At 46.1% G+C, this 15,207-nt stretch overlaps 1 protein-coding gene across 20 annotated transcripts in view; it reads left to right on the forward strand.

The window, feature by feature from the left end:
• The window catches only part of RIN2 (Ras and Rab interactor 2), a 244,858-nt gene that overhangs the window by 167,416 nt on the left and 62,235 nt on the right, over positions 1-15,207 (forward strand). For 16 of the 20 annotated variants that reach the window (XM_047440212.1, XM_047440213.1, XM_017027888.2 and 13 more), the window contains one exon: positions 10,085-10,185. In XM_047440212.1, the coding sequence (XP_047296168.1) occupies positions 10,085-10,185 (101 nt within the window). Of the gene's footprint in view, positions 1-9,118; positions 9,608-10,084; positions 10,186-10,424; positions 10,767-15,207 lie in introns of those variants that run through there. The other 4 variants (XM_017027889.2, XM_047440216.1, XM_017027892.2 and 1 more) reach the window with 4 other exon arrangements.

Below are 15,207 nucleotides of genomic sequence, written 5' to 3' on the forward strand. Positions count from 1 at the left end.
AGGCGTGAGCCACTGCGCCCGGCCTCCCCCACCTCTTTGTGCTCCTCCTCTCACCACTCCTCAGCCTTTGGGTAAATTTGTGGAAAAAAAAAAAAAAAAAGCTGTCCTCTGGGCACATTCCTTAGCCTGCAGAAGGTGCCTCAGGCAGACAGAGCCAACCCAGGGTATAGTGCTTAACAGGCTGGGGGAACCCAGCTCTGGCCATGTTGTAGTTGTTCCTTGCTCTCTAGTCCTGACTTTGCACCATGCACAAAACTAAATTCCAGATGAATGAAAGGACTACAAATAAATAAATACATCATATATAAACAGGCAAAGCTGTATATACTGTATAAGTCTTAGCAGAAAATAAAGGAGACTTTATTACTTCAAGATGAGGAACTTCTTTCTAGGCAAGGGCCAATAAGCAATGGCCATATTGAAAACTTGGATAAATTTGATTCTATCATCATTAAAAGCTTAAGAAAATTTAAAAGGCAGAAAAACAATGAAAGAGATCATATGTGAAACATATCAGACAATGGATTCATATACACAACCAACTTATGCAACTTAATTTTAAAAAATCAAGAAACCACAAAATAGGCAACAGATGAATGAAAAGGCAATTCCTTGCAAGAGGAAATAGAAATAAACGATAAAAATATAATCAGGGCAAAGCAAATGAAAACAAAAATTATTTCTGCTCATCAGATTGGTCTGCTTAAATGTTTGATAATATCAATCATTGACAAGCAGCGTGGACACTTTCACAGATGGCAGGGGCAGTGCAGAAGGGCACAGCCACCCGGGGAGCAATGTGGCACCAGCTCAGAACCTGCTACATGCATAGGCTCCAGCATTTTCTCTGAGGTTTCACACAGTGCACAAGGGAACACACACACAGGTGACCATCACAGCCCTGCCTGTGATAGCAAAACTCTGGAAACAACTAAGCCTCTATCAAAATAGAATGGATATGTGGATTGTGGTATATCCCTATGGTGGAAAACCGTTCCCACTTACAACAAATGAACCAGGGCTTCGTGTATCAGTGTGGATAAACCTCATTACAATTTGTCGAGTGAAATTAGTAAGCCAGTACAATTCCTTTGGTTGGAGAAAACACAGATGATACCATTCAAGGATGATACACACAAAACTGATAACAGTGGTTACATCTGAGTAGGTGAAGGAGATTATGGGTGATGGTCAAGGGAGATTACTTTTAAGTACAATCATTTATTTTCTTTAATTAAAATATATTCATTTGTGACATTTGTAATTACAATTAAATATCAAAAATATAAATGCAAACACCCTTGGGAGGAGTAATACACAAAGTTAAAAGAAAAGAAGCAATGTTCTCCAAAGGTGTGCTTGCATCATTGTCCAGGTGCCCCTCTGCAAGTGAAGGGGAAAAGCCTCCATTACGTTTTTGTTTTCCAGGTGACAGTTCCTGGGGGCAAAGGTCATTTGAAAGTTTGGAGGAAGCTCATTATTTTCCAGACTAGTTTAGAAAAACCCCAACATGAGAGGTACCCACCACACCAGGAGGCTCCTCAGCCAAGCAGAAGCACATGGTCGAGGGAACTGTTTGGGTAATGCGGTTTTTTTAGGATCTGGAGGTAGATCTGATACCGCAGAGCTGATTCCCGGATTATAAATGCTTACCACACCTCAAGGCCAAGTTGATGCACTTGGGGAATGGAAATTCCATAGCTGGGAGCCAAGGACTTGACTTTTCCCACACCCTAAGTTTCAAGTCTTCAACATATCAGCAACACATCCCTTTTCAAACCACTGATAACATTCCTGAATGAGACTTGGAATTTGAAGAGCGCTGTATCAGGACTTGTGCTATAAGCACTTTCTTATTTGACTTTTACTTGACCTTCAAGAGAATTTTTCTCCTTTTATCTAACCCTAAAAGAAAGAAAACAAGACTTGGGGTTCCTCCCTTTTCCCTCCTCCCTGCAGCTTCCTATGCATGCAAAGAAGCATACAACAACTTTTCTCTCTATTAGGGGAAATTCAGCGCCTAGTGGGCAAATCTCTAGGTTAGAGGCTTCTGAGCAGACAGGCAGGAGGAGATTGGACTCCGCGGACATTGTTTCTTTGTAGTCCCAGGTCTCTGCTGCTGGTGATTAAATGGCCTCTTTCCAGGAGGGGAGGTACATGAATCCATTTTAAGTGTCTTTTAGTATCAGCTCTCTGGTTAATAACAATTGCCATTAATATAAAGAGATAATTTGTTACTTATTTATTTTAAGAGATGGGGTCTCACTCTGTTACCTAGGCTGGAGTGCAGTGGCACCGTCATGGCTCACTGCAGCCTTGAACTCCTGGGCTCAAGTGAGCCACCTTCCTCAGCCTCCTGAGTAGCTGGGACTACAAGGCACATGCCACCATGCCTGGGTAATTTTTTTTTTCTTTTTGGAGATGGAGTCTCACTCTGTTGCCCAGGCTAGAGTGCAGTGGCGTGATCTTGGCTCACTGCAACCTCTGTCTCCCAGGTTCAAGTAATTCTCTTGCCTCAGCCTCCTGAGTAGCTGGGACTACAGGTGCATGCCGCCATGCCCAACTAATTTTTTGTATTTTAGTAGAGACGGGGTTCCACTGTGTTGCCCAGGCTGGTCTGAAACTCCTGAGTTCAGGCAATCTGCCCACCTTGGCCTCCAAAAGTGCTAAGATTACAAGCGTGAGCCACCACGCCCAGCCAATTTTTTACTTTTTTGTAGAGCCAAGGTCTCTCTATGTTGCTTAGGCTGGTCTCAAACTCCTGGGCTCAAGTGATCCTCCTGCCTCAGACTCCCACAGCACTGGGATTATAGGGGTAGGCTACTGCTCCCGGCCAAGAGATCATTTAAATAGGAAGAGGATTAGAGAGTATTTAGGTGCCTATTGAAGTGTTTTGTTTTGTTTTTGAGATGGAGTCTCACTCTGTAGCCCAGGCTGGAGTGCAGTGGTATGACCTCGGCTCACTGCAACCTCCACCACCTGGGTTCAAGTGATTCTCCTGCCTCCGCCTTCGGAGTAGCTGGGACTATAGGTGCACACCACCATGCCCGGCTAATTTTTGTATTTTTAGTAGAGACAGGGTTTCACCATGTTGGCCAGGCTGGTTTCGAACTCCTGACTTCAGGTCATCTGCCCACCTCAGCCTCCCAAAATGTTGGGATTACAGGCGTGAGCCACTGTGCCCGACCTGTTGCAGTGTTTTAATCTCATTGTCCTTTTTATTCCTCCAATGACCTTCCCTTGACATCATCAGCCCTAGCTTTGGGGATTTAAGGATGAGGGCACCCAAATGGGTCGCCCAAGGCGACCCAGCCAACCGGGGCCCGAGACAGGATTTGAAGACAGATTTTTCTGAGCCAAAAGCTGGTATGCCTACCCCTACTCCCAGCTGTCAGGTCACCAGTCAGAGCTTCAGGCCACACCGCCTCGAAATTGCACAAGTTGCTGCCTGAAGAATGGCCCCTTGGATGAGGTCCCCGCCTACTGAGAAATTATGCAGAATGATTACAAAATGGTACAAATTACTGTAGACTCCTGCACCAGACTGGAACTCAGCAGGCCCAGCCTTGCCCAGGCCCAGCCCTGGGTGTGACCTCAAAGGGCTGGGAAAGAACTTGGGCCTTCTCCAGTTATTCTCTTGCCCTTGGCCAGGATGCCAGCTCTTATGCAGGAGCACTCAGGTGAACACCTCAGGCTTCTCAAGGTGTGTTATGCACGAATGCAGGACGAGGGAGTGGACCCAACCCCTGACCTGCCTTCCTCTCCCTCTTGTGGTCACCAGCACCCCCTCTTCTTCCCTGGAAGTCCCCAGCCAGGCCAGCAGCCCACTCTCTCCCAGCTTCTAAAGGCAACACATCACCCCTCTGTCCTGCTGTACATGCCTGCAGGGAAAAACAAACACAGGCAATGCCCCGGCAAGACCTCCGTTGAGGTCTGCTGTGCTGTATAAGGATAGGTGGCTATCCCTTGGGTTGGGGTCTTTGTCACTGCTTGTGGGATTTTCTGGGAATGATGCAGCTGTGCTGGGTGTTTGATGTAAGAACCATGGTCTCACCAACTTTGTGCCTTGTCAGCCTTGTCCTATCTGACCCTCTGGCTGCACTGAATCACAGGTGGCTCTGCCACCACTTTCCCAGGTGTCCACAGACGAGCAGGGGTGTAGTGAGCAGCACTCACTCACCAGCTTTGCAGATGTTTAGACAGCCCCTCCCCATGCTTGCAGGAATTCTGCACAGGTACAGGGATGTGTTAGAGGCTGGGATTGTGTAAGTGGGTCTGGAGAAACTTCAGTTAGTAGCACCAGTTTTTTGTGTTTTTGTTTTTGGGTTTTGTTTGTTTGTTTGTTTGTTTGTTTTGGTCTGGTTTGAGACAGAGTCTCGCTCTGTCACCCAGGCTGGAGTGCAGTGGCTCAATCTGGGCTCACTGCAACCTCTGCCTCCCGGGTTCAAGCGATTCTCCTCCCTCAGCCTCCCAAGTAGCTGGAATTATAGGCACATGCCACCATACCCAGCGAATTTTTGCATTTTTAGTAGAGATGGGATTTTATCATGTTGGCGAGGCTGGTTTCAAACTCCTGACCTCAAGTGAACCGCCCACCTCAGCCTCCGGAAGTGCTGGGATTACAGGCATGAGCCACCACACTGGGCCTGTAGCACCAACTGCTATTGGCTTTGTCATGGGAAAGCTGACATTAAAACTGGCCTCCTTTGTTGGGTGACAAGTTATTTCTGCCCTCAAAGAAGGAAATTTTGAAGAAGCAAGTGTAAGGGATGAGATTGAAAGTCTGTGAGAATTAGAAACAAACAAATAAATCAACACAAACTTGTCCAAAAACAACTTCAAAAAAACACCCAAAATCCCTTCAGTGGGACAAAATCCAACCGTCAGAGGGGAGGAAGTGTTTTGTGATGCTAACTGCTGCTGGCGGAGGGCCCAGTGGGTATATACACATGATTCTGAGAGGCAGGACTGGCCCTGGAACACTAAACTCTGGTCCATTTGTGAGATTAAATCCCTCTGCACTCTGGGACAAGTGAGTCAGGACTGAATGGAAGGGGAGGGAAAAGTTGCTGGGGGCTGGGGCTGGGGGGGATGCGAGGGACCAAAAAAAAGTCCCCACATCCAGCAGGGAAGGGTCCACAGCGATCCAGCCAAGTGCAACCTCTGTGCTTGTCCACCCTCGTGCCTTGGGGTCATGGTGCCTTCCTCTGCACTAGAGATAGGTGGCATGGCAATGGTGCCTTCCTCTGCACTAGAGATAGGTGGCATGGCATGATTGGTGACTTGGCATGGGAGTGCCGCTAAGTGACAGCCACAGACACCGTCAGCTTCTTGTGTGTGGCCAGATGTAGAGAAGGAATTGAGGAGGAAACTTGGAGGTCTGGAGATCCAGCCAACAGCATCGGCAAGAGCGGTACCCAGACAAAAACAGCCTGGCTGAAGGGAATCAACTGATGCCCATTCTGATGAGAATCAAGGCCATTTGGGGTTTTTATGTTCAAATCAGTATGATGGTTGTGAAGGTAACCAAAGTGTGGAGAGGGAAATGTACCCAGTGACGGGGCTTCCTGCTGGGGTGGGAGTCCTCTCTTTGAGGTTTGCCAGAGGCTGTGGCCGGCCCTCCCTCACAAGGCCTTCTGCTTCTGATAGGTGTGTGGCTCTCCTGTTTGGGGCCACAGCCACGGTCCAGAATGAAGCAGGGCCTAGTCCCAGGGTGGTGGGGCTTCAGCAGACGTACCCAAACTCCCCTCAACCCCTTCCTTGCTTCTACCTTTTTAGTCCCTTCACTCCTTCCATTTTCATACACACCACCCTTTCTTTTTCTTGTTTTCCTAAAATTTTGTTTACAAAGTACTTTAAGCATACAGAAAACCACACACCATATTAAAATACCCATCACTCAGCACTGTCAAATGTCATCATTTCGCCATTTCATTTTAAGAAATAAAATCTTTCCAGGCACGGTGGTGCCTATCTGCAATCCCAGAGCTTTGGGAGACCAAGGTGGGAGGATTGCTTGAGGCCAGGAGTTCAAGACCAGCCTGCACAACATGGTGAGAAAGTGTCTCTACAAAATAAATACATAAATAAAATCTCACACGTGACCGAGCCCATTGACCTGTGAACACTTTCATCCATTTCTCCTGTCTAGAGGTAACCACTATCCTGGATTAGGATTATAACCCCATACATATTAGGATAGCCTTTGTGTCTATGTGTGTATCTATAAACATACAGTACAGTTTTGCATGCATTTATAATTTTAATAATATAACATGTAACAGTATTTTATTTTTAAAAAAACTTTTTATAGAGACGATCTCACTATGTTGTCCAGGCTGGTCTCCAACTCCTGGCCTCAAGCAGTTCTCCCACCTTGGCCTCCCAAAATGCTGAGATTACAGGCATGAGCTACCACATCTGGCCTAATAATATATTTTAAAACCTAACATAGACGAAATAGTATTCTTTCAACATGTTATCAATATAAACATTATATGGATACATTTTATTTGTTAATTTGTTATGTCATAGTTGTACATATTTTGGGGTGTACAGGTGATATTTTAATATGCAATATGTAATGAGCAAATCAGGGTAACTGGGATATCCATCCATGTATCTTTTTCCTTGTGTTGGGAACGTTTGCATGGTTTTAAACTTCACATGCTGTATATAATGCTTCTCGATTTGCCTTTTTTTTTTTTTTTTCTGCTTTCAAAAAAAGCCTTTTGGGCTTTTATGTTTATACATGTGTTCATACATACAGTTCTGGTTCATTAATTTTTAACTGCTATGTAGCATTTTATACTCAATTAATGTATCCATTCTCCTCTTAATGAACCCTTAGGTGTTCTCACAAATAATGGTGCAACAAATATTCTTGCAAAGGTATCTTTGGGCCCACGTGCAAGTTTAGTCTCTAAAGTACACATATAGGTTTGTGTATCTTTAACCCTACAAGATGTTGCCAAATTGCTTTCCAAAGTAGCTCTGGGGGTAATATTCCTCCAGCAGTGTAAGAGGTGCCATGGTTTGAATGTCACCTCTAAAACTCATGTTGAAATTTAATTGCCATTGTAACGGTCTTAAAAGGTGAGACCTTTAACAGATCATTAGGTCATGAGGGCTCTGCCCTCACAAATGAATTAATGCCGTTATCTTGGTAGCGGGTTAGTTTTCAAAGACGTGGTTTCCTGACAAAAAGAATGAGCTTGGCCGATTTCCTCTCCCTGTCTCCACTCACTTCTGCCTTCCGCCACGGGATGACTCTTACCAGATGCCAGAGTCATGCTCTCGGACTTTCCAGCTTCCAGAACCATGAGCCAAATAAACTTCTGTTCTTAATAAATTAGCCAGTCTGTAGTATTCTGTTATAGCAACAGGAAACAGAGAAAGACAAGGGGGATCCTGTTTTCCCACATCCTAGAGTATTTGGCATTGTCAGACTTTTTAAAAAAACTTTGCCACAGAGATATGTATAAAATAGGATCTCCTAATCATTTCCTCTCTCGAGGCCCCAGTGCTTCTGGAAGCTCCCCCTCTGGTCCTTACTGCAGTCACAGGCACCGAGGGGATGGATCAAGCATGAAGGGCTTGGCTGGCTTCCCTTCTTCTGACCTCTAAGTCCTGGGAGTGTCCAGAGCTATCTGCTGGGCCCCCTTCTCCATCGACCTCTCTCCTTAGATAATCTCTCCCTGCCACAGTGCTTTAGAATGCCAGCCACACATGCCAGTGACTTCCAAACAGAAAAATCTCCATCCAGAGTGTCAGAAGCTACTTCACAGATTTATTTGATGGCTGATAAACAACTGAAATAAATTTAATCTGCCCGAAGTTCAATGCAGTTTCCCCCTCAAGTCTAATTCTTCCCCATTGCTCCCATCTCAGTCAAGGGCAATGCCATTTATTAATTGCTCAAACCAAACACTTCGGAGCCATCCTTGATTATTCTCTTTCTACCACCCCCACATTCAATCCATCAAATTATATCAATTTCTATGTCAAATTGTTCCTAAATTCCCCCGTTCTTTCTAGTTCCACCACTACCACCTCGGTCCAAGCTGCATCATCTCTTGCCTAGACCACTGTAGTTGCTCCTAACTGGTCTTCCTGTTTCTCATCTTGCCCTTTCCAACCACCTCAGTGCCAAGGTGATCGGTTTAGACCATAAAACAGATGTAAAATGGCTTTCTCCTACTTAAGGCCTTCCAATGGTTCTTATCATGGAAGACTCAAGGTGGTGAATACCATGATCTACAAAGTTGGCAAGATCTGATCCCTGCCTGCCTCTCCTCCTGCACACCTTCCTGGCCTCCAGAACTTTCTCTCCATGTGGAGGGCTCTTCCTTTGATCTTTTCATGGCATTCTTGTCATTCAAGGCTCTATCGCTTAAAAAAGACTTGCCCTGACCAACCCGCCCTGATCTGTTTGGCCCCTTTGTTGCTCCCACAGCATTACCTTCACCTGTCTTCATTCTGGAACTGCTCAGTGCTTGGTTCTGGTGTCTTTCTGCCCCACCAGAATCTCATCTCCATGAGAACTGAGATCTTCTCAGCTCCACTCCCCATTTGCAGTACCTGGCATGAAGCGGGAGCCCATAAAAGTTTGTCGAAATAGTGAGTGAATAGATGGGGTCACATTTTAGAACAAGCTTTAAGCGCAAGTGAAGTTTCCCTCCCAGAGTCTGGGTGGGATAAAAGCTACCTGAGACAAGACAACATTTCTCTTTAGTGAGAACAGTGCTCAAATTTCTTAGCCTCAGGACCCCTTGATGCTCTTTAAAATTATTATTGTTGTTGTTATTTTTTTGAGATGGAGCCTCACTCTGTCGCCCAGGCTGGAGTGCAGTGGCATGATCTTGGCTCACTGCAACCTCCATCTCCTGGGTTCAAGTGATTCTCCTACCTCAGCCTCTGGAGTAGCTGGGACTACAGGCACGCACCACCACGCCTGGCTAATTTTTTTGTATTTATGTACAGATGGGGTTTTACCATGTTGGCCAGGCTGGTCTTGAACTCCTGACCTCAAGTGATCTGCCTGCCTCGGCCTCCCAAAGTGCTGGGATTACAGGCAAGAGCCGCTATGCCTGGCCAATGCTCTTAAAAATTATTGAGGATCCCAAAGAACTTATGTTTGTATGGATCATATCTATAAATAGTTGCCATCTTAGAAATTAAAATGAAGGAATTTAATAACGCTTATTTTAAAACAATAATGGACCTGTTACCTGTTAATGTAAATAACGTTTGTATGGAAAATTACTATGTTTTCAAAAAATAGTGAGCAGAGTGGCACCCTTGAGAACAGCCACTGTACACTTACAGTGCCTAGTACGCGCCAGGAAAGACTCTGTTGAATGAGTGAATAGGAGGGTGAAAGATTTTAGACCAGCCTGAAGGGTCAGATGCAGGTGCATGGATAGGTGGGGATCTGAGATGGGGCCGCCTTTTCCCCTAGATGGCCCTGGGGCCCACTCCCCTCCTCCCCACTCATCCACCCCAGCCTCACTCAGTCCTTTCTCTTCCCTTTCCCCAACAATCTTCTCTCCACAGCAGTGCAAAGAATAGAACAAGAAATCATTTTGATGTCGTCAGAAATCAATATGTAAGCTGGATATATCTTTTAAATAAACTCATTTCTATAACAAAATAATCATTGTATGAATTTCAGTCCTTCAAAGGGGGTTCCTTTGGAGGGTTTCCCTTGCCAAATGAATATTGAGGCCCGGTTTTGCCAGGATGTATTTATTCCCGTCTATATTCATGTTGAGAAAGCTAACTGGGTGTTATATTATCTTCCTTATTACAATACTGAAACCTAACAAACTGGGTGTCATATTCTTTTCCTTATTACAATACCGAAACCTAAGTTCTTCCCCTTTCTAAGGAGAAGCTGCCTCCTCCCCCTTTATTTTTTCCTCTGGCTAGAGGAAATTCACAGAGCCAAGATTAAAAAAAAAAAAAAAGAAATAGAAAAAGATGGTCATCTCTGTTCCTATTGAAAAGCCTGAGTTCCCCGGGCGCTGTGGGCATGCCACGCCTCTCCACTTCCTGACGTCATACTATTTTTGTCTTTGAATAGCTCATTGACACAATTGCCTCGGAGATCGGAGAACTGAAACAGGAGATGGTGCGGACAGATGTCAACCTGGAAAATGGCCTGGAACCCGCTGAAACCCACAGGTGACCAGAGACACGGTTAGGTGATGGGTGCGAGAAAGGGATCGAGTGAACCCTGGCACTGCCAAGGGCTGACTTGCAGTCACTCCTCAGAAGTCTGGGAGCTGGGAGTGTGGTAGCAGCTCTAGATGAAATCCTCTGTAGGAGGTGGGAGTGGCCTAGGAACTAGTTGTCTGCTTGTTTATTTTAATCACTTTGAAGGCACTTGAACTTTATACTCTCTCAATTCCTCCTGGCACCAGAACCCGGAAACCTAAAATTGTCTGTGCCATATCCACCTACTCCCAATGATGGAAACAGTAATGCAGCAAGATCCAGCGTGTGCAAAGTAGAATTCAGTGTAGCCGTGTGAGTCTCCAGAAGGCTTACAGGGGAGCAGCTAAAGAGGATGGACTCATTTTGCATTCTCAGGTCAGAGAAAAACCCCAGCAGTCTCCAAAAAACCATTAACCTGAAAAGCCGTGCAGTGATTGGAAACTGGATGTGGTTGTAAATTCGATACAAAGGGAAGGCGGCGTGCTGTGCTGTTGAAGGCGATACCTGTGCACATACTGCACACCGTCTGAATAGGAGGCAAGGGACTGGTCTGTACCTGGAGAAAGGGGGTGCAAAGGTCGGGGGGTGGTGGGAAGTTGAAGGTGACTTCTTCCAACTTTGATGCTAACAAGATAACAATATAATGGCTATAAAAAGACACAGACACTTCGTGCCTTAGAGGCCAGATTTGTTAACAGCTTCCCCTTTCTCCCAGAAAGTGGGGCTGAGCCTGCCTGGAGCAGTGTGAGGCTGAGATTTATGGAGTAGGTTTTGCCTGCAAGTCATGCAACAGGCAGGCCAGCCAGATGGTTCTGGTTGTCCAGGCAAGTTTCAAACCAGCCCGACTAGTTCCGCCATACGCTGACGGGAGAGAGCAACATCCCAGGGAGGCACTTGCAGCTGGAAGGTGGTACTTTGATACCCGATGTCTCTGGGGGAACAGCACTCACCCTTAATTCTCTGTGCCTTCCTTTCCTTTCCTTCTCTACAAAACGATGGGGGTGAACCAGATGGTCCCCCTGCTCCTTGCAGCACACCCAGCATTCTATGATTGTTCTTGACCTCAGTGTGAAAGTCTTATTTTTTCCCCATAAACTAGACAAATGCACAATGATTTTCAGGTAGTGACTCTCTGCCTCACCTCCAGAGTAGTTTCAAACATCGTGGAACTTTAGCCAGGGAATTTCTCTATCCTGTGCCTTGTTGAGCTAAAATTTAATTGGGAGTCTAGGCTGATAACAACAGAAAAGAGAGCTTTGGTAGCACTGATTTCTTTCATAGCCAGGAAAGGCGGCTCTGTGAGATCAACCCCAAGCTCCACAGATGACAGACACCCAGACACAGAGCGGCGGAAACCTTTCCCCTGCATATAAGCACAGGGGATTTTGGGGGTGTGAGAAGGACGTTCTGAACATGTGAGGGGCCCTCAAGATCTTGTTTTCTGACTCCGGTGGGTATTAGAGTGAGAGCTGGGTGGTTGCTTAATCTTTAACATTTCCTTCCATCTTTTCCTTTTCAGAGGTAAGAATAACTGTAAGCAGTCCACAACAGCCTTTTTTCCCAGATGAATGTCACTTTGAATGCTATGTTGCTTAATTCATGAATTTATACATTTGCAAAGGCATTTTATTTGGCTTTTTTTTAACAGAAAAGAAAGAGGAAAAAGCAAGATGAGTTGTCTTTATTTAACAATATAGATCATGTTGGCCATGTGGCAACACTGTTCATATTAAACTACTGTTCTAAGTCGCTTATAGCGACTAACTTACGGAATCTTCCTAGCACTTCCAGGAGGGAAAGCTCTTTAGGGCCTGCATTTGACTGATGTGGAAACTGTGTGCTGTGGGGAAAAAGCTACACAGTTTTGGCTTCTGTGCTGGAGTGTCTTGCTGATTTTTTAGAAGTAGTGAGTTTGGTTTTAATTTCTCCATTTTGTCCAATGGAGCTGTCAGGAGGGCCAGTTCAGTTATTTCTAAGATCAAGGAAAAGCATAGCTGTGGCCACAATTCAGCCTGGCACAGAGCAGCAGCCAAAGGGGAGAGGAGGGAAGAGGAAAGCAGACCAGTAGGTAGCAGAGTTGCTTTCAGCAAAACCCCTGGAGAAAGAAGTGGCGAGCACCGCCCGGGCCCCTGGCTCTGCACGTCTGACGGCTGCAGGAAATGCACCGCCGTCAGCTTCCTCTGCAGCTTCGTACTCTGTGAGTGTGAGCTGGGATAGGGAGTCGCCTATCCCACCACAGCCACCACGAAATGTCTATGGTTCCTTAGTTGATGGAATACCAGATTAAGCACCAAGCTAGTCCCTAGGTTAGGAATCACTATTACTCTAGCTGTGTTAGTGTTTGGTTGCTCTTTCGTGCTTAATATTGAGATAACCTTGATCTTTAACTTTGTCTTGTGCCATGGACTCCTTCTCTGAATAATCTTTTGAATGCATAAAATAACATATATAGGATGTCATGGGAAAAACAATTACAGTGAAGTCCAGTGATCAGAATGTTTCAGTGTGTGTTTCAGCATGTGCTTCCATGGCATAGGTGCTTCTGTTTTACATGTGACAGATAGGCATAAATGACACAATCTCTGTAACAGCTGTGACAACGGTGAAACCTCTGTGGTTTCTGTTGGTGACAAAATCACAGGTCGTGATACTACTACTGTGGTTTGTTGCCTACAATCAAAATGGAAGGAAGTTCATTCAGAATGAGGCTATGGAAAGTGAAGATGTCAGTTTTTGGCCCGATGGCCAGTGCCCACCTCCCGTCCTGTCTCCTGTCAGCGTCGTCTGCCATGGTCCATCTGCCCTCCTTTTTGGGACATTTGCTTGGCTTGGCTTCTGGGACCCCACACCTCCCTGGGATCCTCTTAGCTGTCCTGCTGCTGCCCCCAGTGCCCTGGCTGGTTCTTCTTTATCTCCCTGAACTCCAGCCCTGGAGAACCCAGAGATCACACTTTGATCCCCTCCTTTTCTTTTTTTGTTTGTTTGGTTTTTGTTTGTTTGTTTTGAGACAGAGTCTCACTCTGTTACCCAGGCTGGAGTGCAGTGGCACAATCACAGCTCACTGCAGCCTTGACCTCCTGGGCTCAAGTGATCTTCCCGCCTCAGCCTCCCAAGTAGTTGGAAGCACGGGTGCCCACCACCACACCCAGCTAATTTTTTTTTTTAATTTTTGGTAGAGATTGGGGTCTCTCTGTGTTGCCCAGGTGTGTCTCAGACCCCTAGGCTCAAGGGATCCTCCCACCTCAGCCTCCCAAATTGCTGGGATTACAAGTGTGAGCCACTGCGCCTGGCTGAGCCACTCCTTTTCACTCTTCACACCTTTCCTTTTCTCTCTCCCACTAACTTTGTACAAGGTACTTTAAAAAATATCTGTGCCTCAGTGTTCTCCTCATTAAAATGGGAATAATAACAGAGTTACCTCACAGTGTTGTTGGGAAGATTAAGTGAGTTAATAGCTGTCAAGGACTCAGCACAGTGCCTGACACGTGGTAATAGCCACACTATATGTAGTTTTAAAAGGTGGTCTGTGGAGTAATTTCCTAGGTTATCCCACCCAGTCTTGTGGCTCTGATACCATCTATACATTGGTTATTCCCAACTTATACTCCCTTGGCCAATCCTCTCTTTGAGTCCAGAGGTTGGTAACCAACTGCCCACTCAGGAAGTGTTCCTTCATAGGTTCATTCCTTCCTGGGTCTTCCCCGTCCCAGTCACCATGCCTCCAGCTTCTTGGGCCTTGTACTCATCAATGGTGCCTCTATTCCTGTCATAACTGCCCTCCTCCCATCCATCTCCAAATCCAGGCAGCTCTACCTTTTATTTTTCTTTGAGACAGAATCTCGCTCTGTTGCCTAGAGCTGGAGTGCAGTGGTGACACGATCTCAGCCTCCTGCAACCTCTGCCTCCCAGGTTCAAGCAATTCTCGTGCCTCAGCCTCCCAACATAGCTGGGATTACAGGCATGTGCCAAAATGCCTGGCTAATTTTTGTAATTTTAGTAGAGATGGGGTTTCACCATGTTGGCCAGTCTGATCTCGAATTCCTGGCCTCAAGTGGTCCACCTGTCTCAGCCTCCCAAAGTGCTGGGATTACAGGCATGAGCCACCGTGCTTGGCCTCTACCTTTAAATAGATCCAGGATGGAACCACTTCTCACCAGCACCACTGCAGTAGCCCCTGCCTGGTGCCTCTGCTTCTACCAGTTCCACTTTCTCCAGGCTATTAGCCAAGCAGCATGGTGAACCTTTTAGTTCACCTAAGTCCAAGACACATCTCTCCTTTGTTCAAAGCCTTTTGATAATTTTGCATCTAAAACCAAAATTATTACCATGGCCTTCAAGACTCTATAAGATGTGACACCCCAGCACCCCTCTCCTCTGCCATCTCTTCTCTAGCATTCTCTCCCCATCACTCAGCTCCAGTCCCACTGACTTCCTTGCCAATGTGGCCCCTGCCTCCTGGCCTTTGTACTTGCGGTTCCTTCTGTCTGGCACATCCTTCCCCCAGGAAGCCTTCACCCTTGAGCCCTCCTTTTCTTCTACCTCATTACCTGGCTTTATGTTTCTTCATAGAACTTGTACACACAGGACATATATTCACTTGCTTCCTGTCCATTCTTTCTTTTTTTTTTTTTTCTTGGAAACAGACTTCCACTCTATCGCCTAGGCTGGAGTGCAATAGTGGTGTGATATTGGCTCACTGCAACCTCCACCTCATAGGTTCAAGCAATTCTTATGCCTCCAGCCTCCTGAGTAGCTGGGATTACAGGCACGCGCCACCACCACCGGCTAAGTTTTTGTATTTTAGTGGAGACATTTCATCATGTTGCCCAGGCTGGTCTTTAACTCCTGAGTTCAGGCAATCCGCCCGCCTTGACCTCCCAAAGAGTTAGGATCACAAGCGTGTGCCACCACACCTGGCCTATCTGTGCATTTCCTGCCTCCCACCACTAGAAGGTAAGCTCTGTGAGACCAGGGACTGGGTCTGTCCTT

This window comes from Homo sapiens, chromosome 20 (genome assembly GCF_000001405.40).
Source record: "Homo sapiens chromosome 20, GRCh38.p14 Primary Assembly".
NCBI lineage: Eukaryota > Metazoa > Chordata > Mammalia > Primates > Hominidae > Homo > Homo sapiens.